The sequence below is a fragment of the Homo sapiens genome, chromosome 18, assembly GCF_000001405.40.
Source record: "Homo sapiens chromosome 18, GRCh38.p14 Primary Assembly".
Lineage (NCBI taxonomy): Eukaryota > Metazoa > Chordata > Mammalia > Primates > Hominidae > Homo > Homo sapiens.
In genome coordinates, this window is record NC_000018.10 from 48,118,158 (window position 1) to 48,145,240 (window position 27,083).

Below are 27,083 nucleotides of genomic sequence, written 5' to 3' on the forward strand. Positions count from 1 at the left end.
ATGACGCTTGGCTAATTTTTGTATTTTTAGCAGAGAGGAGGTTTCGCCACATTGGCCAGGCTGGTCTCAAACTCCTGACCTCAAGTGATCCGCCTGCCTCAGCCTCCCAAAGTGCTGGGATTACAGGCGTGAGCCACTGCCGCTAGCCTGATCAACCTTTTCTTATATGTGAACTGATCATTTGCCACAGGTAATCATGTATTTCTGAGCTGTCATTTCCTTTTCCCCTTTTGTGCCACTGAGATGCATGCCTTTCTTTTAAGGATACAAAAGCTGTTTTTATAGGGTTAATATATTAACTTTTTGGCCATATGTGTTATAAATACATACATATGTTTTAAAACTTTAATAGTAAAAAGTTCATTAAGAAACCTGAAATATTTAGTCTTTGACTTGTTCTTCCTCTTTCTTATCCTAAGAAAACAATCAGTGTTCCTGAGCCAGAATATTCACTCTAGTGCCATTTATATTAGGGGAAATAGAAAATTACCCAATATATAGCTAATGTGGTACATTAGCGTGAGTGAATAGTATGCGACCTAAATTAAAATGAGACTTTCTATGAGTGATTAGGAAATGCTCAGATAAAGTGCTAAGTGATAAAAGTAGCACAATGTCCAGAATAACCTCAATTTTATAAAGTGAAGAAAATTATACATATTTTTTGCAAGGTTGCGAAGCTACATCAAAACATTAACAATATCAATTGGAGTTCTTTCTTTCTTTTTTGTCTTTCTGCCTGATGTGGATTCCTAAGGAGCTTATTCTGAGTGGTAGAATTACTGATGCTTTAATCTTCTTTTACCTTTATGATTTCCTAAATTTTCTATAATAAATTATTTTATAACTAAAAAAAATTTATCAATCTCAAACTTCAGTGTTCATCAGAATCACCTGCACGGCTTGTTAAAACAAAGATCACTGTGTCCCATCCTCAGGGTTTCTGATTCAGTAGGTTCACGGTGGGTCCCAAGACTCTGCATTTCCAGCAAATTCCCAGGTGATGCTGATGCTGTTGGTTCAGGGACACACTTTTGAGAACCATGACTCTACACTAAAGGGTATTATTTCTCCCATTACTTTGTTTGCATCCAGGTTGATGAGATGTAAAACAATGGCACCTGATCTTCTTAATCTTTGAGACTGATAAATTGTTTCCACCAGGTGAGAAGGAGCCAGAACATCAAGCCAGTGCAGGCGCAACCCCAGCGCAGGCGCAAGCCCAGTGCAAGCGAGTCTTTGTTCCTACTGCCAGCCCCATGCTCATGGAAGACCTGCGTTCCACACATTCCTTCCCCTGAAACCACCAGGCACCTCCCTTTCCTTCTCATTTTCCAACAAAGTGCACTTGGAGGAATGGGGGCATTTCTCATTTGTATTCTCATTCAAAATGTATACCTACTTTTTGTCTTTTTTAAATGTTATTATTAATTGAAGACTATATGTCTACGTTTTGAATCATAGTTCATGTGTAACAGGCAGGTCCTCCTGGCCCAACCAGGAACTCCTGGTGGGCCCAGACAGCTTGCTTAGGTCCATCCTGGGTGCCTGGCAAATGTGTGTTGGTTTGCTTGGGTCTCCCCTGAGCTCCAGGACTGTGATAGGCCTGGCAGACACTTTGGTGAGGACATACCAACATAAATAACAATCTCATTGATGGCAGCCCTCCAGAGAAAATGAAACAGGAATGAACTTGTAACTGGCTTGGGGTCAGGTACTTCAATAGCGGGGGTTGAGAGAAGGCACTTTGAGTCTGGAGTGTGTTGGTTGGCATGAGGTTGAAGGGATAAGCTGGACAGACTGAAGAGGGTCCCTTAGGCTGGCGTTTCTCGAACCGTCATGTGCACACAACCCCAGGGATTTTGATTCAGTCAGTCTAGGGTGGGGTCTGAGATGCTACATTTCCAGGTGGGGCCCAAGCTGCTGCTCTCTGGGTACAGCCCTCTGACTAGCAAGACCTTGGGCCACAGTAAGGAATTTGAAATCCAATCTAATTACAAGGGGGAACCATTGAGGAGTTGGAAGCAGCAGACTGACAGATCTTACTTATGGTTTAAAAGATGACTCTGGGGGAGAAACTGTGTGGGAAGGCTCCGAGCAGAAGCAGGGTGACAGGAGATGAGGTGGGAGCTGAGGGCACTGGACCTCAGAGGCAGCCATGGAGGCGAAAGAAGTGGTCAGGTAATGGCTAGGCACGGTGGCTCACGCCTGTAATCCCAGCACTTTGGGAGGCTGAGGCGGGCGGATCACTTGAGGTCAGGAGTTCAAGACCAGCCTAGCCCACATGGCAAAACCTTATCTCTACCAACAATACAAAAATTGGGCATGGTGGTGGGTGCCTGTAGTCCCAGTTGAATCAGAAGAATCACTTGAACCTTGGAGGTGGAGGTTGCAGTGAGCCGAGATCACGCCACTGCACTCCAGCCTGGTGACAGAGTGAGACTCCGTCTTAAAAAAAAATAAAAATAAAAAAGAAGTGGTTAGGTCAGGGATATGTGTAGGAACTAGTGCTAGCAGGACAGGGATGTGTCTAGGAACTAATGGACACTGGGGGAGGAGGGAAAGTGGGAAGCAAAGAGACTCTAACCTGCCCCCAGCAAGTAGGTCTGCACAACCCCATTCACTTGGAGACTAAATGAAGCGGCTCCTTTGGCATCATTCACACAATCAGAGCTCCAGGCCTTGCCTGGCTTGCCTGCAGAGGATGCTGGGAAGGAGCAAGGTCAGTTTGCACACTTACATCCCTGGAACACCAGCCCTGAAGGACAGAAGCATGGCTGCAGGAGGCCGACTGATTTTGGGAGGTACCAAGAGAGTAAGTGGGTGCCTCAGGAGTCTCTGCCAGGACTCCAGGGCAGGCACAAGTCCCCAGAGCTGCCCCTGGTCTTGGGGAAAGCAGCCACTTCTCACACCTACTCCTGCGCTCCCTGCAGAGCCATGCCCATGAGCACTGTTCTTCCCAGGCTTCTACTCCAGCTGAAAGAAAGCTGTCCCTCGAAGACAGAGATCCAGGCCATCAGCAGGCCATAACCCAGGAATTGTGGGTAGGGGAGGAAGAGGAGGTGGAATACCCATCTGGTGGCAAAACCATTGTATAAGCAACTGTCAGACATCATGTGACTGCAACTCACAGTTAGCTTGTGTCCCTCCACTGTCATCAGAGCCCAGGGATGGGATGCTGTCCCAGCTGCTCTTGTGTGTCTCAAAACTTCTACAAATCTTTTCAAGTTGGCTTAATACTCTTTTTTTTTTTTTTAAAAAAATGCACTTACTGTACCAAAATATTAAAGGCAAATTTAAGCGATGTACACATTAGAACTACTCCCAGCCCCCACACTTTACTGACCCTGTATCCACTTCTTAGCTCCCTCTGAGCCTGGATGAGATGCCTCCCATTGGTACATACCTGCAGTAACAGTGGCTCTATGAGGGTGTCTCCCTAGGGCAAATGGGATTCTGGATTTAGCAGCATGTGAAACTGATGGGCAGCAATTCACATGAAGGCTTTTGGATTGAATGAGAGGCTGGGTACAGGTAGGAGATGGCAAGACTGATGGTGTGAGCCATCACCTGGCCTGAGAGGCAGGTTTCCATCTGTAAAATAAGGGCTTAGGAGAGAGGCTGAGCACTGCGGGGGACCTGGGCCCTGATGACAATGTGGGTACAGGGAGAGGGAAAAGGCTGTGCTGGGCACAGAGTGGCTCTGGTGTCCTGAGGGCTCAGGATGGCTTTAGGGGAGACAGTGTTCTCACCAAGCAGCAGCAGAGACCCATGGATGTGGAGGATACAGCATTAAGGCCTGAGCTGACCTGTGCCTGGGGCCCAGTGACATGCTGCAGTCCCTGGTGACTTACAGCATAACAGAAGGTTTCCTGCAGGTCTGGGGAGGAGGTGCCAGGCTCCTGCAGCCGAGCCAGCTGAGCTTGGAGCCATCTAGATCGGGCTGTTCATGTTGCTGTGACCAAAACTCTCAGAGGCTATGGAAACTGAGATCTTCTTGGACCAACAGCAATGCCAGCACAGCCCAGTGTAGGCACAGAGGTGTGGGCAGCACAGTTCTTCAGGGCCTCAGAACCCAGTCCATGGTGCTGTACAGTGTCTGGATCTGTTATTTTAATGGCGTATAATATTCAACTGAATGGATGGTCGACAATTGATATTACCATTTTCCTACCTTTGGCTGATTGTTGGTCATTTTTTTCTCTTTTGTTATGAAAATGTAGTTGTTTCATCTTTATTTTATAGGCACACAGGTGCTGCAGTAGGGTATGAGGGAGGTGGAGGGCAGAGACTATCATGCTGTCCTGCCCACGTGCAAGCTCCCTGTATAAGAGGCCTCCAAGCAAGAGGCACCATTAAATTCATGGTGCCAGATGGTTGCAGCCAATTCTTCTGAGAAGGCCCAGAGCAGCTGAGGCTGGTGAGGGCTGGGATCACAGTAATCCCTGTGATTACTGACTTAATATGTTACAACAGGCTCTGGTGAAGTATCCGAAATGGGCAGCAAAATGCAAGGGTTGGAGTTCAGGTGGTGGGGAGTGGCCTTCCCAGTGAATGAACTAGCTACTTTGGGCTTCCGGGATTCTTGTCCTGCTGTACATTCAGTCCAACCCAGGAGGAAGAAGAACTGCTCACACCTGAGCCTCCACTCTATTAGCACCATTGTAGCTGCTCAGCAAACGAATGAATGAGCAGATGAGTGAATGAACAGACCAGATGGGAGCTGCTTATGTACTGCATGCACTCTAACCGCCCCCCACTCCCAACACACACAAGAAAGTTGAAATATTCCCTCTTGGACTCTGACTCCTTGCAGGAGGGGATGCGGATCTATGGGGCTGGTCGAACTTGTCCTTGGGGCTCTGTCTGGAGGGGCCTGACACCCTGGGCTGTAGCATCTCTCTCCTGGCAGCTGTGGGTACCTGGGTGAGCTGCCCCCAGACACAGAGAGCAAGCAAGCCTGATGCCTATGGCTGTACCTCCATGTGGATCACTGATTGCTTTGTGATCACCCATCAAGTGATCACATGATAGGGGTTGAAAGGGGGACAGAGAAAGCAATATAGGATATACTTCCTCCCTCTAGGAAGTTTACAAACGAATGAGAAAAATGAGTCACATCCAGGCTGCAGAGGGCACAGAGATGAGCCACCCAGATGGGGACCCCAGCTGCTGGGAGCAAGGTCAGCATTCAGCCCTCAGCTCAGGACAGCCCCTTCAGGGTTGCAGAGAGCCACCTGGCCCAAAGTCACGCCTTCCAAGAACCGCACATTCAGCGACTATGCAGGGCGTCAGAGGCCTGGGCGTTTTGGCCCAAGCTGGGACAAACTTGAAGAGGCCCTTTCAGCCCCAGAGGTCCCTGTGGGGTTGGCATAAGTGGTAGGGCTGGCATTGCTGCAGCAACTCCCTCCCTCCCCCTGCCTCTTGCAGGAGTTGATCCCCTGAACACTCCTAACAAACATCCTGCATGTTAAACTGCTTCCTGGTCGGCTGCCCAGAGAACCCAGCCTTTCAAACAGGGAAAACAATACTGAAAAGTCAGTCATATGGCAACATTCAGGGTTAATTTTGTAGTTCAGGCTCTGAGCAGTATAAGAATGGTGAATATAGAAGTAAGTGCTGCAGGATGCATCCTTATAAAAGAGCTCTCCTTAGAAATGATCGTGTATATTTTTATTAATGAGATTGTAAACATAAACATGTATATTACGATTTTTTTTTGTTAATGTGAAGGGTTGTTTCTCTCATATTTTATGTTCGATGTTCAGCTCTGGGGTCCCTGATGGACAAGAGGTGATGTAGCCTGGGGACAGTGAGATGGTTTCTTTCCTGCAGGGCTCAGCCAGCCAGGAAATATGCCAATTAAGGCAAAGCTCTCTGTGAGGAATCATTTGAGTTGTCAAGTTAACCCCATGACCTGGGGATCATAGGCTGGGTACTATCTCCCCAACTCTCCAGGCAGGCTGGGCCCCTTTAATTGGCATCAGTTACTTTGGGGCATGGTGACCTCTACCTAGAAATGTCGGATTCTCTGGAGATGATGAAAAAGCCGAACAAAGCCCGCAGTCTGTCTGCCTGACTGCAACCCTCAGGCAAGCCTGGGATGGCAGGCGGTGGGAATGGGTCCCTCATGTGAATGTATTAGGAGACACTGAGTAGCAGGTACCTTTCCTGGAAGTCAACAGCACATGCTGGAATAGAATCTGCACCACAGTCCTTAGAGCCAAGCAAAATGCAACCAACCACCTTTGAGAACCATGGTGTTTTGTTACTAATTATCTTTTGCACATGCTTTTACTACTCAGTTATTGTTTATCGTATATTAAGTTCATTATTACTACAGAGGAGCCAGCTGGAAGGGGGTGGGGTGAATCTGCATTGCCCCCTGCTGTTCTGTGAGGATTACTAGGGTCTCTGGGCACCTGCAGGGGTTTGGAGATGGTGGGCTGAACAGTTCCAGCACCATGGGATTAAGGCTGAGCACTCACCCTCAGGTAGCTGAGACCCAGGAATCCTGATAGGATGCTGGCTGGCATTTTTGGTTTGGTGTCTGTGAAGTGCTATCTGAGCCAGCCCAGGGGGCTCCAGTTCCTCAAGGAGCAGGGGTGGGTGAGAAAGCAGGAAAGCAAGGACAGCTTTTGGGAATGGACAGGCAGAATTTTAACACTGGTTGGGAGAAAGCCCCTTGCAGTTTTCCCCTCTCTCCACCTCTCTGCTCTGAGGACAGCAGCGGTGGCCAGTTGGGACAGCCAGGATGGAGTCTAGGGCCAGGTCAAGGCAGGAGCAGCAACTGCTGAGCCACACCCTCAGCTTTCATCAGCCGTGGCAGGAGAAACGCCACGGTCACAGGCAGAATGCAGGGGCCACTGGGAAGCAGGGGAGGGGCAGAGGTTTGCTGCATGGGAGCTCTGAGTCAAAAACTACTTTCAAAATTACAGCTACTGTGTGCTAGATATATCGCATAATTTATCTTTTTGATCTTCTCATCAGCTCAGAGGACAGCTATGATTATCCCACTGAACAGATAAACAACCTGGGACTCAGAAGTTCCAAGTAGTCCACAGTGACTCAATTAGAAAGTGGGTGAACTGAGGTGGGAACCCAGATCTAAGTGGATTCTTATCCAGTAAGGGCTTCCTGCTGTGGAAGCCGTGTAAGGGATCTCACTCCTGAATGGAATTCTGGACTAGATAGTGTCCGTAGGAAGAAGGTGGCCCCAGCCCTGAAAGGTGCATCTCCCTCTGGCTGCTTACAGACATCTGTTTTTGCACGCTTGAGCTACTGGTGGCTGGCTGCCTTGCTAGGGAACCCCCTTAATGGGGTGCATGGACAGCCCTCTGTGCCATGGTGTAAATGGCAACTTGTTTCAGGATTCGGCTAACCCTGTTCCCCAGACCACAGCAGACAGGGGAAGGATAACAGAGGTGCTGGCCATAACAATATGATGGCTGGAGACGCAGTGAAGCACTGTGGAGTTGGTCTTGGGGTCAGGCAGATCCTTATTCTGGGTCCACCATCCACCAGGGAAGAACTTTTAGACCAGGAGGGCTTCTGATGTCCTAACATTGTCTGCCTTGCCCCTCATTAGGTGGCTCCAGTAGACAAGGTGATCCAGGGCAGGAACCCTGCCTGGGCAGCCCCAGGAGACACTGTACAGCAGATAAAGTCTGGTGTGGTGTGGCTGCACTGAGGTCGCTAGCCACGCATTCTAAGAATGCAAGATATCATCGTGCAACTCTCTTTACCTAGTGTGCTTTGGGCAAGTGATCCTGGAAGGGCCCTGCCAAGAGGAGGGGAGCTGGCATGCTGGCGGCAGGGTCAGTAGAGAAGCACTGCGCACCGTGCAGTCAGGCTCCCAGGGAGTACTGCACATTTGGCCAGGACTATGCTTCAGGGATACATCATTTTTTATATCATTTGATTTCTTCAAAGGATATCATTTCAAAAATTTACATACAGGTATTTTCTATTTTCCTTTATTACCTCTCAGGCTGACTTTCCCCATTATTATTACCTGTTCTCAGTCTCTGGTAATAATTACTTTAAAAAATCCATTATGAGATAATTCTTCACTATCATTGGTAAGTGATTTAGTCTAAGAGCAGACCAGGATTTTGTCATAGACAGGTCTAAGAAGGGTCTTATTAATCACATCAGAACACCTGTGTCTTTAATATACCCTCTGATACCCTGGGGCTTGAAGACAGCCCTGGGCACCACTCTCCTCTGTCCTTATGAGAGCGGCGCTCTGAGGACAGCCCTAGACAGTGTGACCCCCAGTGGCTCTTGAATCCAATCACCTGGAACTGATTGTGGACTCCAGCCTGTCCTGACTTCCACAGTGTGTTGCTTAGCTGGTCTCAAAAATTTCAGCCCATTCTAGCTCCCCGGGGGAGATGCCCTCATTGGCTTCTTGTTACATGGGGACACCTGCTTGCAGTGGGGCCATTGTGATGAACCAGGCTTGTTATTTGAATGGCATGTGACACTTCCATTGCTTTGGGTTTCATCAATCCCTCTGAGGAGAGGTGTGTGCTGGGAGAAAGGGGGGAGGACCAGAGCTCTATGCTGAGTTTGTGGAGTTCTTCAACCTGGTAGGGGCAATCCTCTTGGAGTCCCTTGTAAGGCTGAGCATTTGTGTGGAGGATCTAAAGTCTTGCTGGCCTCAGGAAACAGAGAAAATGACTTCTACCTTTCCGCCTGGGCCCAGGTCAGAGTGACCATCTGCAGCCTTAGGGCAGGGAAGAAGGGGGAGCAAAAGAAATAGAGATGGGAGAGGGAGGAGGAAAGGGGGAGGGAAAAGAGAACCTTCAAGGTTCAAGGGCAAGAGCAATGAAGGAAGATGCGCGTGGCTCAGTGAAGGTTCTGTGTAAATGGTGAAGGCCACCACTTATGGAGTGTGCACAACAGGCCAGGCACTGATGGCTTTCCTCATTCAGTCTTCACATCAACCCTAGGAGGCTCCATCCCCATTTTGCAAATGGGGAAACTGTAGCACAGAGAGGTTAAGTAACTAGTCCAAGGCCACGGAGCCTGCAGATGACAGAGGTAAGACTTGAACCAGGCCCTGATTCCAGAGCCTATGTGCTAAGAGGCTGTGCCATACTGCTTCATCATCAGTCCCAGCTCAGAGCACCTCCCTGAAGGCTCCCCTGAGCCCTTGGTCGAGACCTCCTCCCCCTGCTCTGACACTGAACAGCACTGTCTCTCTTGTACCACTCAGCTGAATGTCATGCCTGATTCTACAGAATCTTGCTTCATTTTTAGTTCTGGTCTTACCTGGCTAAATGGATGACAACTCTTTAGAAGGAAGGGGCCAAAGACCTGCATGGGTGTCCTACAGGGGTCAGCATGGGGTCCGCACACAGTAGGTGCTGCTTTGTCTTTGCTGATGAGGCATCGCCTTCGATGGCCCCCACTGGTTGTGAGGAAGGCCTTGTGGGCCAGCATTTCTCCTCCCAGGGCCCCACTGTTCTCCCCTCGGTTCTCCCCACGTGAGGCTCACTCGACCTTTCATCCCAGCGTGGGCTTTGGGGTTGGCCGACGCTCAGCTCCTCTCCTCTGCCTGGGGCTGCAGAGAGTTCACCACTGTGTTATTGGAAAAGCTTCCAAGAGTTGGAGCCAGGTTCACTCAGAGGGTGCGCCACAGGAGTGGGAGAGGAGGGATGGGAGGGAACATGGAGAGAAGCTGTCCCCTCGGCAGGGAGCAGTGGCGGGAGAAGGGAGGGAGAAAGAGGCAGCAGATTTGAGAACTCCACAGCTGCGTGTCCACAAGGGCCGGCCAGAGGCTGCCCAGCCCAGCCAAGGGGCCTCCTCCCCAAGGCCTGAGTCATCTGGAGGACCCCGTAAGCTCCATCTTTATGTTCGCTCCATTTGTTCTCCAACCTTCCCTGGGTCATACCTACTGTTACCATGAAGAGCTCCACAGGCCTACAGGAAATCACTCCTGCCTGCCTGAACATCAGCCTCTGGGCTGTCCAGTTCAGCTTGACCTTTGGGAAGCTCCTGGTTCTCCCTGCAATGCCCCGAACCGACTGCTCCCCGCAAGGTGCCCTCACTCTGGCCCTTCATCCTCCTCTCCATTTAGCCGCCTGCCAGGCTGTTCTCATGCACCGGCCACACAAGTGGCTAGAAATGTGGCACGATTAAAGTGGTCTAGGAAGTCCCCTTCCCCAAATAAACAACTGGCCCCATGCACTGCCCAGAGTGCCTGACTTTGCTTTTTCCTTATGCCTGAGTCCCATCATTAGAAATGTCTGCTGGCCGGTTCACAATTGTAAAGATATGGAACCAACCTAAGTGCCCATCGACCAATGAGTGGATAAAGAAAATGTGGCATACATACACCATGGAGTACTACTCAGCCACAAAAAGGAACAAAATAATGTCTTTTGTAGCAACTTGGATGGGGCTGGAAGCCGTTATTCTAAGTGAAGTAACTCAGGAATGGAAAACCAAATTCTGTATGTTCTCACTTGTAACTGGGAGCTAAGCGATGGGTACGCAAAGGCATACAGAGTGGTATAATGGACACTGGAGACTCAGAAGGGGGAGAGTAGAAAGGGGGTGAGGGACAAAAAAAACTACATATTGTGTACGATGTATACTACTTGGGTGAGGAGTGCACTAAAGTCTCAGATTTCACCACTATATAATTCAGCCGTGTAACCAAAAACCACTTGTACCCTAAAAGCTATTGAAATAAATTTTTTTTTTTAAAGAAAGAAGTGTGCGCAGGTAAGCCCTCTCTTTCAAATACAGACACCCTGAGAAGGGGACCATGTGGTAGTGAGTGTCTCTTCCACACCTTAATGTGAATTCGTGCAAAGAACTGGATTTTCCTAATAACTAGGTTTGGTCATCAGAACGAGGGGATGAGGTGAGGGGTTTGAAAGGGTGCTGAGAGCTTAGATGGGATGATTTCGGAACACAGATTCCTGGATGGGCGGGTCTCAGCGGGTGGGGAGAGGAATTTGAGCAGTGTAGGAAAAGCATGAAGATACCAGGGGAAAAAACGTGTGCTGCAAACGCCCGTTTCACTGCCCTCCAAAAAAACTGCCAAAGGAGAGTGGTGAAAAACCAAAGGTCAAAGACACACTCAGGGTGGCTTCATAACTTCCCAATGTCCCCATCTCCTGGTTAGAACCAATGTTTATGTATTAACTGAGGACACACACACACCCAGAGAAAGTCCAAAAAAAAAAAAAAAAAACCACATAGCAATGCCCAGAAAACTACCCCAAACATGTTCCTTTCAAAGCTGCCAACTGAGGAGCCCTCCCTGATCAGTCGGAGGCAGATCAGACCTGTTTCCTTTAATTGCAACTTCCACCCTTCTAGAATTTCTACTCCTCTGCAGGTCCAGGCCACAGAGACATTAATCCCTATTCAAGTGAAACTTCAAGGTTTTTCCTTCTATTAAAAAAATGAAAAACAAAAAACTCTCAAAACACCCCAAAGCAGTGTCTCTAATGTCACTGGTGTGTGCATTTGCCCGGAAGGGAGGGAGAGGCTCCGGGCACGGCACTGCATGGAGGCCTGGCCTCAAGTTTCCTCACCTGGCCTCTCTCTCGTTGAAAGGCAGAAATGCAACCCTTGGTCCCTCCTCCACCCCACCTCCCCACCCCCTGACAGCTTTAATAAACTGTGATTATTTCAGTCCCTACAGCACAGCTGTCCTGTGAATTGTCCAGTCAGGGTTATGGGGTGGAAGCCAAGGTCTGGAGTGTGGAGCTCAGATCTCCGAATAAACCGGCCCTCCCTTTCCCTCCTCTGCCTCCCTGCTCCCTAGCAGGTGGGAGTCAGGAGGAGGGCGGTCTCTGGCTGAGACCAGGGATGACAGAAGCATTTTCTGAGCAGCCTGCTGATGGCAGAGCCCCAGTAGGGGAGGGTAAGGGAGCAGAGCTTGCAGACAGGGTTAGGGGTGGAGTCGCCTTACCTACGTGCTGTGAATGCAGGCCTCTCCAAAATCCTCCTTCATCCCAATCAAGGAGCCCTGAAATTGTACCTCTAGAGATTAACCTCAGGCTGCTTCTCTGCTTAAAATGTGCTGGTGCATTATTTGAGGACAGAAATGGAGCTTTAGTCACTTTGTCATTTACAGGAGGTATTTGGGAAAAGTTGGTTGAATGAGTGACATTCTGGGCCGCTATTAGAAATAATAATAGAAGAAGAGGAGCAAAGCTCTGGGGGCTTTAAGGGAAGTGGGCAGGGATGACCCTGAGTGGGGAGGGAGAAGAAAGTGATGCTAGGTCAATCCTACCATATCACAGTTGTGCACACAGCTAGCCAGGGCAACAACACGGGTGATCTGGTCCTTGCCCTTGAAGAGCGTGACTGTCTTACCAAGTAACGGCCATTTGTATGACTCTGCTAATCCTCCTCCGAGAAGTTGGGAAAATTGTCCTCAACACTCAGAATGGTCAAAGCTGAACTTCAGAAACCATCTACTTAAAGGCTCTCTGAATCATTTTCAGCAGCAGAAGCCCCCTTTTATAAATAAAATTTTGTGCAGAACCAGATCCACACAGATCTGTTTTGCTTGAGCCAGCTGTGTGAATCTCTGTGGAGAACACCAGCGTAATCCATCCAACTCCCCATTTCAAGTCAGGAAATTGAGGCAAAGAGAGGTTAAAAAGTGTTCTCAGACTTCACCACAATCACCTCCAAGCACCCGGTGGCCTCCCTTGAGATTCAACTTCAGTACTTCTTGGGTAGGCATGGGCATCTATAATCTTTTATTTATTTTTATTTTTTACTTTTTTGAGATGGAGTCTTGCTCTGTCACCTAGACTGGAGTGCAGTGGTCCCATCTCAGCTCACTGCAACTCCCACCTCCTGGGTTCAAGCGATTCTCCTGCCTCCGCCTCCCTAGTAGCTGGGATTACAGGTGCGTGCCACCACGCCTAGCTAATTTTTCTATGTTTAGTAGAGATGGGGTTTCACCATATTGGTCAGGCAGGTCTCGAACTCCTGACCTTAAGTGATCCGCCCGCCTCCGCGTCCCAAAGTGCTGGGATTACAGGCGTGAGCCATGGCACCTGGCCTGAAATCTTTTAAAGGACTTTATAGGTGATTGCAACATGTAATCAGGTTTAGGAACTGCTGGACTAAGCACCATTTGATGGTGAAGAGTCCATTCATAGCAGAGCATAGTCCAGGCTGCTCTTGGGTCATACAAGCCAAATTCCATTACGATAACTTCCAAGAAGCACTGGAATTCACTTCTGGTCCTCAGGTTTGGCTACACTGAACATGATGCCACAGAATGGCTAATGACCAGGACTTAGGATGTTCTAATGAAAGGATAGTTGTTTTTTTTTTTGTGTGTAATGTTTGGTAGTCTTCAAACTAGGTGAGTTCCCCCATGCCAGTTGGCTCAAATTTGTCTTTGTTAAGAGTGTTAGTTATCCTATTCAGTCCCATAGGCATAAAACTGGGATAAAATGATTTCACTGTGGAGCTGAAATATCAGCATGAAATAGAGTACTCAGCCATACAAAGTGACTGTCTTATAGGGACATAGAGGGAAAGCTCAGTATAGAGCTCTGGGACATGCAAAGGAAACACCAGGGTGTGCAGGATGCTCAAGAGGTCTGAATGGCTCTCACTATACCTATAGAAAGCAAGCATGGCTGAGCTGATCCCAGAATATTTCCTGGCTACTGCTCCCTTGAGCATATAAACCCTTAAAGATAGGACGGCTACAATAAAAAGGCCATATTATCAACAAGTGTTGGTGGGGATATGGAGAAACTGGAACCATCACATACCTGCTGGTGGGAATGTCTAATGGTACAGCCACTGTAAAAAAACATTCTGGTAGTTTCCCAAAGGGTAACTATCAAGTTACCATATGACCCAGCAATTCCACTCCTAGGTATATACCCCAAAGAAATGAAAACCTAGGTCCACACAAAAACTTGCAAATGATTGTTCAAAACAGCATTATTTACAGAAGCCAAATATGGAAACAACCTATATATCCATCACGGGTAAATGGATTTACCCATTATGGGTAAATATAATTATGAATGGGTAAATAAAATATGGTGTATCTATACAAGGAATATTGTTCAGCAATAAAGAGAAATGAAGTACTGATGCATGCTACAAAGCTAACGACTCAAAAGTGTTAGGTTAGTTGAAAGACACTAGTCACAAAAGACCACATATTATCTGATTCTATTTATACGAAAGGTCCAGAATAGGCAGATCTATAGAGACAAAAGGTAGATTATTGGTAACCTAGGACGGCTTGGGGTGAAATGGGCAGTGACTGCTAATGGGTACAGTATTTCCTTTGGAGTAATCAAGATACTATAAAACTGATTATGATAATGGTTACACAGCCCTGCAAATATGCTAAAAACCATTGAATTTACACTTTAAATGGGTGGATTATATGCTATGTGAATTATATCTCAATAAATTTTATTGACTGTTTTATTAAGAAAAACAGAAACAAAACAAACATTAGAAAAGTTTCTGTTGTTTAAGTTCTGCTTAATAGAGGCAGCCTCTGCTAGATTTCCCTAGGGCTTATGGATGGCAAGTGTCAACAGGAGCTGAGACCACTGTCATCTCTCCAGTGACCTCTTCCAGTGGCTCCAGAAAGACCAACGGACCAACCTGTTGTCTCCAGAAACAATTTAACAGAATTGTCAGCCAGACTCCACAGCCAAGAAAGCAATAGCCCTGCAGGTATGTGTACAACGCATATGTGTAGGCAGCACAGATTTTCCTGAAGGCCAAGTCCAGTTATATGATATCATTTGGGAGGGCCACATGTACATTTGCATCTGGTTTGCATCTAATTTGGAAAAGCCGACATAGATCATGTGCCGTATTATTAGGTAATTTTTCAAGTTTGGAGTCTCAGAGTTGCTCCACTCAATTTGTTCAGTGGATGGACTCAGTTATTGACTGATGAATTACAGCTTGCTCCGGGGTTCCTGGCCTAGGAGGGGCAGCCTGTGGTCATGCAAGCTTTCCTGTTCTGTGTTCCATGCACACACAAGCCAAGCTACCATTGTGGGGCAGCTCTTATCCCATGGGGGGAACCTCCTTCTCACTAGCTGGCCTCTGGCATGGAGGAGGGAGGTGCATGGGTGCGGATGAAGTGGAAGGAGGCCCACTCTAGCTGATCCCCTTCCAAGCAAGGCCTAGATGGAGGGGGCCTTCCAAATGGAACAAAAGGGAAAATGACAGAAGAGAGCAAGCATTTCTATTTATCTAAACACAGGATCAAGATGTACAGTGGGAAAGTGAAATTATGCTGCAATTTTGAAAGTCATCCACTGAAGATAAACTCTCCCTTCAAAGGAATTACTCATTTCACTCCATCATGATACCTCAGGGTCTATCAGTATTCAAATTTATTAAGCAATAACATGCAGAATGTATGATATAAAGGGCCTGTGTCATCACACATTCCCCACGCTATTTTTTTTTTTTTTTGCTAAGTCATGAGAAGTGCAGCAAGTTAAAAATCAAACAAAAATTAACAAGCACACACACACAAGATGGAAAATAAATCCTCCGTGGAAGTTACTATGAAGCAGGAGGCTTTAGAAAGGAAAAACACAATCTCTGACTAATATGAAGGAGACTCCAAATTGCTCTTGGCAACAATCTCTCAACCCGATTCCCCTCCCTCTATTCATCTCCACAGTTCCCAGCCAAAGGAAAATAAACTGAACAGCTCTCTCCCTGGCCCAACCTGTAGGGCTGCCTGGCTGAGCAAGGGCTGAGCAAACAAACATCCCCATGCAATTATACACCTGTGTAATTGCTGTAAACACTGGGATAGCCAGCTGGGTGCTCACGGCCCTTATCAAGCTGATAATCTCAATATTGGGGGAAAATGCCTTTATTCTGGCAGCACGACATCAAGGTAGTATGCAATATGATCTTGTGACCTCAAACCCAGGATTTTTTTTTTTTTTTTTTTTTAAGAAAAGGAAGTAGAAAAAAACTATTCTTCTAGCAGAAGTCGGTAACAATTCTGGGGAAAGAAAGTCCCAGAGCATCACTCAGATGGGTAATAGTTTCAAGGCAAGATTTATCAGTTCACCTTCCTCACAAAAGTGATAGTTAATTTTAGAGGTAGTTATCTTAAACCTATTACACCATTCAGGATGGAAGGAGAGTTAACAGGCCAAACGCCCCAGATTATTTATGGCTGCTCTGTCTCAAACATCCATCCAACACCATTCTATTAGGACAGATATGTCTGGTCAGCTAAAACGAAGGAGGACAGGATTCTCAGGAAATGGCATTGTAAGTGGAGATGTAAGTGGATGAAGGGTCTTTCAGTTGAGTCCTAAAACCGCCCCGGAAGGCCAAAGTGAGCTGCTCTGTGAACCATGTACGGTCTAGAGACTTGGGTTCTAGTCTTGGCTTTGCTACCAACAAGTCCTGTGAGTGTAGACAAGCTTCCCTCCCCAAAGGTAAGGGCAGGCGCTTGAAGCTAAACTCGAGTCCTATGAAAATGCCATCCTGGCCACTGAGGAAGTGGGCAGATGCATCAGCAGGGTGACACCCTGGGACAGTTCTCAGCCCGGCCAGCACTGATCCAGAGAGAGATGCCAGTACTCTCAGAGACTGTTTGGGCCTCTTCTTGTCATCTCCAGCTGGCATGTGCCAAAAGTGCAGACTCTTCGAAACCCACAACTGTAAACCCTAAATGAATAATCTGAACAGCAGGGGCTCAAACAGCTTCCTGGGCACTTGGGGCAGAGGCTGACTGTGCTGTGTGCATTCCACTGCATCCCCTTGAACCAGGGACAAGTCCTGGTGACTGCAGCATGGAGACTCCAGTCATTCTAACTTCCCCGCTCTTTCCTCTCCTTCCTTCTCCCTCTCCTCCTCTTCATCCAGGCCTCCTGCTGCTGCTTCTCAACAGCAATGCTTCCCAGGCTCCTTCCCAGGCTCCATCTCACTTCATCCAACCCTTTGAGGGTTGCACTATTACTATTACTATTACTATTCCCATTGACAGAGGCCAGAGATCTCGTCTGATTTCAGTTACTGATGTATGCCCAGCACTTAGCATGGTACCTGGACACATACAGTAAACAATACAATAGCGTTGAATAAATGACTGATTGTTTAAAAAGAAAATGACATTAAAAAAAGTTAATATTAAGTGTAACACATACTATTTTCTGTTGTACTATAATTATACCAAGGCGATTCCTGTCTCTGCAGTTAAAGTGTAAGATTCTAAAAGACGTGGGGTACAATGAGTGGCTTTCAATCCTGCCTCTGCTACTACCTGGACAATGTATTTAACCCATTTGGGCCTCAGTTTCCCCATCTGCAAAGTGGGGCTAATGATTCATATCTGATGTGGCCTAATATGAGTCTTTTTTGGGAGAGTGGGTTCTTTTTCTATGCAGCCCAGGTTGTGCCTTAAGGGGGGAGGACCGGCACTGGGGCTACTTTTCTTTCCTGGAGTTTCACCCAGCGGGGGTTCCTGAGCCTTTCTAAGCCCAGAGAGGATTTAACTGGGTGAAAGAAGGGGAACGGAGGGAGTGGAGCTGAAACTTGAACCTGGCAGAGCCTTTACCACCTCCAAGCCAGCGCGCCCCTCCCCCTTCCAAAAAATCTTCTATCTCATCTGGAGAAACTGCTCGATTGTTTCAATCACTTCCTTTCTATTTTCAAAATTCCGCATTTAGAAGAACTGGAAGTGGTCTGCCACTAGCCGACCAATAAGTCGCTGGAGTGGGGCTTCCTTCTGCGCGAAGCTGGGTACCAGCTATTAAAAGAAAGAAGGCAGCCGCCCGCTGCCCACCCGCCTGCCGGCACAGACACAGCCAGGACAACGGAAGCCAGGAACAGAAAGGAGCGACCCTGGAGCCCTCACCACAGAGCACGGCGTGGGGGACCCGACGCTGGATGCTCCGCGCGGGGTGGGCGGCGGGCAGGGGGGCGTGGGTGCTGGGTTAGGGGGAAGCTCTCTCCATCGTCCTTCCCAGGCCAGCCCCGCGGCCGCTGCGCCCGCCTGCAGGAACTCAGGCGCTCCAGTGGGTGACGCCGGCCCGGGCGCCCGCGGGAGTGGGGACGCACGGGGTCAGTCCTTTTGCGCCACCCACACCGGGCCGTCTCCGGAGCTGAGAGACTATAGCTCGACTCGCCTGCTCGGGTGGGAGTGCTCCCCATCCACTCACCCCCAGGTTGGAGTCCAGGGAAGAGCCCCCCACCCACCCAGCTCAGCGCGCGATTTGAGCCCAGGGACCTGACAGGGCTCCCGCCGCGCGCCTAGCTGGACTTCTGCCAATCGCTCCTTTAATTTCTGCCCGTATCGCCGGCCCTCGACTTTTGCCAAGTTGCCATGGCTTTTGTCCCCCCTCCCTCCCGTCCCCAAGTTTTGCATCTGACTCTCAGGAGGACCAAGCATTCTTGGGGGAGACAATTTAAACTACCAAGGTACACCCGCAACTCCCTCTCGGAGTGCCCTTACGTTCCTTCGGCTGGCCCCTCGCCCCAAAGGAGCCCGCTGGCGTGGGCCGGCGGCAATGGGGCAGTGGCGAGAGTTGCTCTCTGCAGAGTTCCAGATCCTCTCTCCTATTTCGGAAGAGGTGCGTGGCCCCACGCCCCGCAGGAGCTCCGGCGAGGCTGGGGGAGTTGAACGCTTTGCGGACGCCGCCACCCGCGCCAGCCAGAGCCGCCCCGCGGCCACCCGGCCACAGGGTCCCCGCAGCGCGTAGCGAGAATGCCCGCAGCGCTCTCCCGGCCGCCCGGAAGGGCTTCCTCCCCCACCCCCTCCCCACGGCCCGGCCGCTGGGCTCCCCAGAGCCCCGATCCTAGCCCAGAGGCGGGCCGAGGCCGCCGCAGACCCACCTGGCCGCCCCGGGGACGCCGCGCTCGTGCCCGGGCCGTGTCCTGAGCGCCGCCAGGGTCCCGGGCTGGGAATCCACGCGGCCGCGCTGCTCGCGGGAGCCTGCCGCAGCCGGCGGGAGGTTGTCATTGATTCGTGCTGGGCGAGTTAAGCCATTCCAGGAGTGGTTTTGAGAGAGCACTCCCTCCCCACCCTCCAACCAGAAGTATTTGGCCGGGAGCCCCTTTGGTCCACCTGTACTGTTAAGCGCAGGACAGGACGATCTCACCACTCGCGCGTTACGCTTCACTTTATGACACCAAATTAAGATCTTTGGAAAAGGTAAAGCAGAAATAAAGGCAAGGGCGGTGGAGGAGCTTTTCTTTTCCCCTCTTTTCTTCCGGGTTCCTCCGTTTTGTTTTTTGTGGGTTTCCCCCCACTCTCCTTCTCTAGTACTTCACAAAATGACTTACCACTTATCTCAAAGCAAGGGAGGCTTTTTATTATTATTGTTTTATTCAATTCAGCGTGTCTGTCTTTTTAGAGGCAATTTATTTCCATTTGCCTGAAACCTAAGCCCAATAAAATTACTAGAATTATATGTTTTCTCCTTACAGGGTCGTGAGTGTAACTTAACCAAATCAAACACTAAACAGCAATCCTTTAAGTAACAAAAAAAAGAGGGAGTGCAGGAAGTAACCACAGCACTGCAGCTCCCTCCTCCGTTGGAGATCATGAGACCTTGTGGGTGGGACCCACAGACACCCCTTCCCCTCGAACAAACAGACATATCACGCAGGCTGACTCAGAAATGCCAACTGGAGATTCCGGCAGTCCACACTGGGGTGGGCCAGCCACCAATCACAGAGGTGTGGCCAAACACCCTCTCCCAGGCCTTTCCTTCAAACCTCACACAAACCTCTCCTTCGAGCCTTCTTGAAAACTGCCACCTGGGAGGCTCTGGCCAGCTGGGTGCTGTCAGGCCTCTTTTACCCTGGAACTGACTGGTCACCTGGAGGAAATAACCATTTAATGCCTTGATACCTCTGCTGACTGTTCTCAGAAATGGGGGAAGCGCCAGGGGAGTGAATCTTTCCTGTTGATCATCTTACCCCGGTGCCATGGAAAATAAGCACAAAACAAGAGTCCAACGAGGTGCTTGGCCTTCCATGGCCTCTGCCACTCTTCTCCGGCAGGCCATGAGCCTTAAAGGATCCTGAAACCAGAAGTAAATCTCAAAGGTGCATTGGCCATGAAGGTCCAGGGATGAGGCTGTGCTTTGCAGAGCCCCAGAAAGATGGTTCAGACAAAACTATCTCCTCCAACAGGTGCCCCTTGCCTGAAATTCCAATGTTAGAGATTCATTCCTTCTCGGGGTATGCCCTGCAGGGAGCCTGCCCCAGAGAGGCAGGGAAACTTGTGTCAGGAAGGCAGGAAAGGTCGGGTCTCTCTCTGTGGTTCCCTCTAAAACTGTAAATACCCACCGCTGCAGGCAGGGGAGCAGGCATTTCCACAATAGACTAGAATGCATCTGTCAAACCCTCCATGCTGTGGAAAGAGGGCTGTGGACTGCTGCGTGAGGGGAGAGAGAGGCTGGGCAGCCAGGATGTGGTGGGGAGAGGCTGCTAGGTCAGGGAATTGGGTGCTGAAGGGAAGAAGCAGGGGTGCTTCATCAGAGCAGGTGGACAGTTTCCAAGATTGGATGACTCCATAGCTTTTTATCAAAAACCAGGTACTCCCGGAACACCCAAGACAAAGACTGAGAAGTCAAATCCCTTTGTCCACAAAGGCACTAGTTAAATATCCAATGAAGCATTAACTCCACACTCCACTCCCAGACCCCAGGAGGTAAAGGTGCCAACACATGACCTGGATGGAATCAGTATGAATCCAGAAGTGTTTGCTGTGTGCCCGTAAAGGGTTTGCCTCAGCGGCCTGGGTGGAGGTGGGGTGGGTGCAGTGGGGTGCCAACCTCGGAGCCTCTCTTCTTGTGGGGCAGATAAAGCACAGGCGGACTGGAGAGTGGGGCAAGGTGCATCCAGCACCCTGTGGGTGCATAAGGAACAGGGCAGTGCTTTTGCAGAGCAGTTAGTAAGGCAGGCTCACAGGGACAGGGCTACAGGAGGAGTGGGGCTGGGCAGGCCTGGAAGATGGTGCTGCAGGGAGCAGGAGAGGAGGGCATGTCAGGTGCGGGAGTGGAGGCAGGAGGGGGAGTCACTGGGGAAAGCCAGCAGCTGGCCTGGTTCAGAGGGTTCACTCAGTAGTTAAGAAAACAGGAGGGGGTCTATGAGGTAGAGCCAGTTTATGGGTGCAGCTTCTGGCTGAAAGGAGAGAGTGCAGGGCAGAGCCTTGTTTGGAGAGGAGGAAGGATGGGAGCACCTTTTCAAACCCAGCTGGAGCGGGATGTGGGAGGGAAGCTGTAGGGAGGGGTGCACAGAGTTGAGGTGCCCAGCCCAGCTTACCCCCAGGCGGCTCCTCCTAGCCAGGGTTCCAGTCCCCGGACTGGAAGGAGTGTCTGGGTAGGCTATGGGTGGTGCCAGGGCCAGTGATATTGCAGCCAAGAGCCTGGGGAGAGCTGGCTGCTGTCCAGCCCACCGGCTGGGTCCTGCAGTGGACAGTGAATGCCACTCCTCCCTCCCCCTAATCACTGTGTGTGTGTGCCCTGCTGGGACACACCCTTCAGAATGGCTCTGGGCACAAAGTGGGGAGCCCCGCCCCACCACCCCTCCAGCCTCCCTCGGTGCCAGCTGCCTCCTGGGAACAGGAACATAAAGCAGTCTTAGTGAAGTGGGTGGGGAGAGAGGGCAAGGGGAGGCTCCCAAAGCCACCCACAGAAGGGGCTCTGGATGCACCAGACTCCAGATCTGAGTGTGCATTTCCTTTTGGGCCTGGATTCCTTCCTAGGCCCTCTTTGGCCTCCTCCTCCTCCTCAGCTCCCTTCCTCCAGCCCTAGCCCTTCTCAGCCCCCACCTCTGGCTCCCCGCCTTCCCGGTTCAGGTCAGCCAGAGCACGTGGAAGCCCGCTGGCTTCACACGGCAAGCCTGCCCTGACTTTCACAGCTGGCTCCAAACTCAACAACTCACTCATGTTCCAGTGAGGACGAAAGCTCCTACTTCAACCACCGAGCATGGCTCAGAAAGCTAAACAGAAGCACATAAGCAAACATGCTACTGTCTTAACTTGAAACCTCAGCAGGGCCTAGTCATCTGCTGGGGTTGTAATGTAGGCACACAAACAGCTTTGTGCCCACAAGCACACGCAGATACAGAGTGTCTGCACACACGTGCATAAAGAGGCAGACACATGTATGAGCTCTGTGATCTGCAAAGAGTATACTAATATTGACTGAGGGCCTATGCCCTCACTCTATGCAACCACGCTGTGGGGTAGATCTTGTTATTTCCTCCATCTTACTGATAAGGAAACTGGAGCTCAGAGAAGTTTTACAACTTGTTTAAGGTCACACCGCCTGACATATGATAAAATTGGACATCACACTGCATCTTTGTGACTCTGGTGACTCAAGGCAACCTGGGGTTCAAGCTCTGGCTCTTTGGTTCATACAATTGGTTCCCTAAGGGGCAGTGTGGTTTGCTGATGCATGCCTCAGTTTATCCATCTGAACAAGCAGGGTAATGACTCTTCCTGAACCCAAGAGGGTATTGTTAGGCAGGGGGAGGCTGAGAGGGAGGTTGGCCTTTGCTAGAGTGCTGAAGCAAGTCATCCTAGAGGATGTGCAGACATGGGAATGAGTGATACTCAAGCCAGAAACTCAGCGCCACGCTTGCTGCCTCCCTGTCCTTCCTGGCCCCCACCCGCGCCCCCAGCCAAACCATCCATCAGCAAGTCTGTCTCCAAAATAGAGCTCGAACCTGCCCTCTTCCTGCCACCTCTGCCACTGCTGCCCTTGGCGGAGCCTCTATCCCCTCTCACCTTGACTTCTACAGGCACCTCCTAACTGGTCTCTCTGCCCCATTCCTGTTCTGCTCCTTCGGCCCAACGCCACACGACTGCCAAAGCAATCCACTTAAAACAGGCATCTGGTCCTGTCATAGGGCACTCACATGCACTTTAGACTATTCACCATAGCCCTCAAGGCCCTTCTCTCGCCAAACTCCCTGCACCCCATACTGCAATCACAGATAGGCATCCCCCCCGCACCACCCCCCCCACTGTTCCTTCTCCTTCCTGCTGTGGGACTTGGCTTATGCAAATTTCCCAGCCTGAAATGCTCCCCCAACTTTGGGTCTTGCAGGAATGTCACCTCCTCAGAGAGGCCTTTCCTGACCACATAGATAAATTAGGATCTTGTGCCCCATTATCTATTTCAGACCCTTGATCAGAGGATTCATGCTCGCATTGATTTTTTTATTTGACTGTCCCTCCCACTAGAATGTTGGCTACTTGATGGCAAGGACCCATGCATCTTTTCTTACTGTATCGTGCCTGGTATGTCACTGGCCCCAGGCAGGTATGTGTGGTACAGGTGTTTATTGAGAGAATCCTAGATCTGGGAAACAGAAGGACTGGATCTTGTCTTGATGAAATTCTTCCATTGTAGAGAAAATTCGTGAACTGGGCGGGGGGGAAAGTAACCCATAATCTCATCACACTAGGTAGGCTAATATTTATGGTGTCACGGTGGCGTGGGCAGCGGGTCAGTCTTTCTCTCGCTGGAGTGAACATTTCACACCGCATTTAACACAGGCTACACTTGTCATTCCTCCTTGTACTTCTTGGATGCTTAACAAATGTTTAATTAAATTTTGAGGAAAACTGAAAGAAAATGGAACCAGCTCAAGGGAGGAGGGACATGCCAAGCCTCTTCCTTCGTGGCCCCTCTGGCTTCCTGTCCAATCACAGGCTATGACCTCACCGTTCTGAACTCCACTGTTTGCATATTAGCACCTGTGGATTGTAATGGCATGGCTCTATCACTTTCATCCACAGATCAGATTTTATTGAAATGTATTAAATGCCAATTTGAAATAATAATGCATTGCCGTTTAGCATTGAGAACAGACAGGGAGCCACGAACTGAAGCTAAGCTACACTTTAACAGCCCTTTATATGGTCACCGAGTTTACCCAAATCTGTTAGTTGCCAAGGCTACATACATTTCTGCCACTGTGTGTTAGGGGGGCAACCCAGCCATTTGGAACCTATCGGCCATTTGCCAAACTCCATCAAACTCCTCCACTTCTTCCAGAACATAATGGTGATCCAGAGAAATGGAGTCCTTTGGGCTTACTGGCCTTTGGCTGCCCTGTCCTGCAGGGGCTGGAAGGCAAGGGCAAGGAGCTGTAGCCCCAGAGGGAGGATTGGGGGCCAGCAGAGCCTGCCTCCCATTTAGGAGCACTGGGAGACCAGCCGGTGCTTGTCTGGGGCCCTCAGGAACCTCCGAGGGGGAGGTGTGGGCCAAGCACAGGGTGCTGGGTTGTTCTCTCTGTGGGAAAGTACCCTGCCAGGCTGGAGTGCAGGGCAGGACTCCTAGCCTGGCTGGCTGCACAGTAGGCTGTGCGGGGTCCCAGACCTCTGCTCACAGCCTGAGGGCCCCAGGGCTGCCAGGGCCTCACCCTCCTCCCAGACTGTATCAGGTAACACCATCAGGCACCCACTGTGGGAGGAGGGGAGGGTGCCAGGCAGGAGCTTCAGCTAAGCCTGGCTTGTGGGGAGGAGTTGGGGTGGCTGGGCCTGTCACCATGGATCCCAGAGGAGGAGGGCTTGGTCAGAATTTGGCCAAGGTGGGATAGTGGCAGGAAAGGGGGTGGCACCACTAGCTAGGGGAGGCAGATTCCCTCTTGTCTTCCTTCCTCCCTCCTTCCTTCACTCCTCCCTCTCTCCCTTCTTGACTCTTCCTTCCTGTTCACCTTCCTTCTCCCTTCCTCCTCCTTTTGCTCCTCTCTCCCTTCCTTCCCTTCACAGGTATGTACTACCTATTCTGTGCCCCACACCACTCCAGGCTTTGGCTATAAAGTGGTGAACAATCCACGTGGTCTCCACCCTTATGGAGCTGACCTTCTTCTAGCAGGGGAAAGATAATAAACAGATAAACATCTACCATGAACTCAGGTGGGTGAGTCCAGATCATTCAGCCCCATCCTTAGGCAAACCACTTTTCCATCTCCAGCAGCCTCTCATCTCATTTGTTCCCCACCCTCAGGGGCCAGGAGCAGCATTATAGCTCCCATATACAGTGAGGAAGTGGGGTTGAGGGTGGGGAGGTGACTTGCCTGAGGTCACACTGGGAGCACAGGTGGAGCTGCTGCAGTGGAACCTTGGCCATCTGCCTCCCAGGGGAGTGCTTTTTTCTTCCTCCAGCAGGGTCACCGGCACTTACCTCCAAAGCAGGGGAAAGATTTAATTCTGTGCTTCTAAAGACACTTTCTGTTTTTAAGAGAACATTTATGCACAGAAAACTAAGAAAAAAATGCACTAAGAACCTCACCCTAGGACAAACAACTAATTCACCTTATATTAAATTACCACTTACTGTGTGCAAGCCAGGATCCCTGAGGGTCTAGGCAGCCTCAAGAGCTGAGGTCTGGCTACATTAGCTGCAAACTGTCATCATGACCCACATTCCCTTTGTCAGCTCCTAAGAGCTGACAAAGACTCTCTCCTTCAATAAACCTCAGACAGGTTCCTCTGAGCCCCCTCTTGTCCTTGGGCCCTGTCTTTGGCCTGCCTAGTCCAGTTTTAACAAAAATGCTGCTAAGTCCGGTTAGCAAGAATCCCCCATCCCTTGATATCTAATCATCTTGACCTGTTGGCCTGCCTTCTGCAAGAATCCTGTTAAGTCAGTTCAGCGAGGATCCCCCTACCTTTGATGTCTCCTCTTGGTAATTTTCCATCCACTCACCACCCTCTGCACCTTGGCTATAAATCCGTACTTGTCTTTGTATTTGGTGCTGAACCCGGATCCCTCTCCCCTATTGCAGTCCGGCCCAACTCTGAATATAACAAGGACAAGCGGGAGTACCCCTATTGCAGTAGTCCTGAATAGTCTTTAGGCCAGGAGCGGTGGCTCACACCTGTAATCTTAGCACTTTGGGAGGCCGAGGTGGGCGGATCACTTCAGGTCAGGAGTTCGAGACCAGCCTGGCCAACATGGTGAAAGCCCCATCTTTACTAAAAGTACAAAAATTAGCTGGACGTGGTGGTGCCTGCCTGTAATCCCAGCTACTCGGGAGGCTGAGGCAGAAGAATCACTTGAAGCCGGGAGGCGGAGGTTGCAGTGAGCCAAGATTGCACCACTGCACTCTAGCCTGGGCGACAGAGCAAGACACCTTCTCAAAAAAAAAAATTTTTTTTTTCTTAGTTTTCTTTACCATGTAACAACTACATAAACAAAACATTTCCTTTATTTTATTTTTTTTAGACAGGGTCTCACTTTGTCACCCAGGCTGGAGTGCAGTGGCACAAACAGGGCTCATTGCAGCCTCAACCTCCCAGACTCAAGTAATCCTCCCACCTCAGCCTCCCAAGTAGCTGGGACTACAGGTGCACACCACCATGCCTGGCTAATTTTTGTATTTTTTTGGTAGAGACAGGGTTTTGTTATGTTACCCAGGTTGGTGGCAAACTCCTGAACTCAAGCCATCTGCTCGCCTCAGCCTCCCAAAATACTGGGATGACAGGTGTGAGCCACTACACCAGGCCAAATTTTTTTAGTAGTTATGTTGCTGTGACTTGGACAGTCTCAGATTTATCACTGCACCCCTGACCTCTCACTCAGGACTCCAAGTGTGTGTCTTTGAAGCCTTTGTCTTCACTCCCGATTGAGGGATTGGGGAGTCCATGGGAGAGTTCTACTCCTGATGAAACCCAGTGCTCCAGATGATAGTCCACTGAAGGACACATTTTCATTCTTAAGATTCTGAGTGTGCTCTCTGAGGCTGGGTTACAGTCCCAGGTTTCTTAGGTTGAAAGGTACTTATTTGAGAAAGAATCTTCCTGGATGGACGTCTTCTGGGCTCTTTTTCAGTAGAGATTCATTCCCTGACCCTCAAGAGGAGGCATTCCTGGTTCTTTGGGGAGGCCTCTGCTCTAGAATCTGGGTTAGAGACTCAGGCAAACCGAGACTGGGTTGCAGTCTTGGGCATCTTTGTTGGGGAGAAGTCATTAGTTAATAACGTGGGAACTTCTCAGTGGACTGGAAACCGTCTTCTGGAAGCCCTGCTGACTATATGTCCCACAATAATGGCACAAACTCTGTCTGCTTCCTTTCTTGTTGGCATAATTTACTGGGTAACCT

General features: G+C 49.8%; 1 protein-coding gene across 18 annotated transcripts in view, besides 3 other annotated features; it reads right to left on the minus strand.

Annotated features, from left to right (window-relative positions):
- The window catches only part of ZBTB7C (zinc finger and BTB domain containing 7C), a 385,914-nt gene that overhangs the window by 91,486 nt on the left and 267,345 nt on the right, over positions 1-27,083 (minus strand). Inside the window, exon 1 of one of the 18 annotated variants that reach the window (NM_001039360.3) lies at positions 18,850-18,991. The exons of the other annotated variants lie outside the window; for them this stretch is intronic. The gene's annotated coding sequence lies outside the window, so the exon portion shown is untranslated. Of the gene's footprint in view, positions 1-18,849; positions 18,992-27,083 lie in introns of those variants that run through there. 18 annotated transcript variants of the gene reach the window in all.
- Positions 8,221-8,515: a silencer, noted in NCBI's record as "tiled region #9251; K562 Repressive non-DNase unmatched - State 22:ReprW". NCBI's record gives its function as "represses a minimal TATA promoter and a strong SV40 promoter by Sharpr-MPRA in K562 cells {active_cell/tissue: K562}" and the evidence as "EXISTENCE:reporter gene assay evidence [ECO:0000049][PMID:27701403]".
- Positions 9,570-10,168: an enhancer, noted in NCBI's record as "H3K27ac-H3K4me1 hESC enhancer chr18:45654098-45654696 (GRCh37/hg19 assembly coordinates)". NCBI's record gives its function as "activates a minimal SCP1, AML or CMV promoter by ChIP-STARR-seq in naive H9 embryonic stem cells {active_cell/tissue: H9 hESC(naive)}" and the evidence as "EXISTENCE:reporter gene assay evidence [ECO:0000049][PMID:30033119]".
- Positions 20,881-21,380: an enhancer, noted in NCBI's record as "H3K4me1 hESC enhancer chr18:45665409-45665908 (GRCh37/hg19 assembly coordinates)". NCBI's record gives its function as "activates a minimal SCP1, AML or CMV promoter by ChIP-STARR-seq in primed H9 embryonic stem cells {active_cell/tissue: H9 hESC(primed)}" and the evidence as "EXISTENCE:reporter gene assay evidence [ECO:0000049][PMID:30033119]".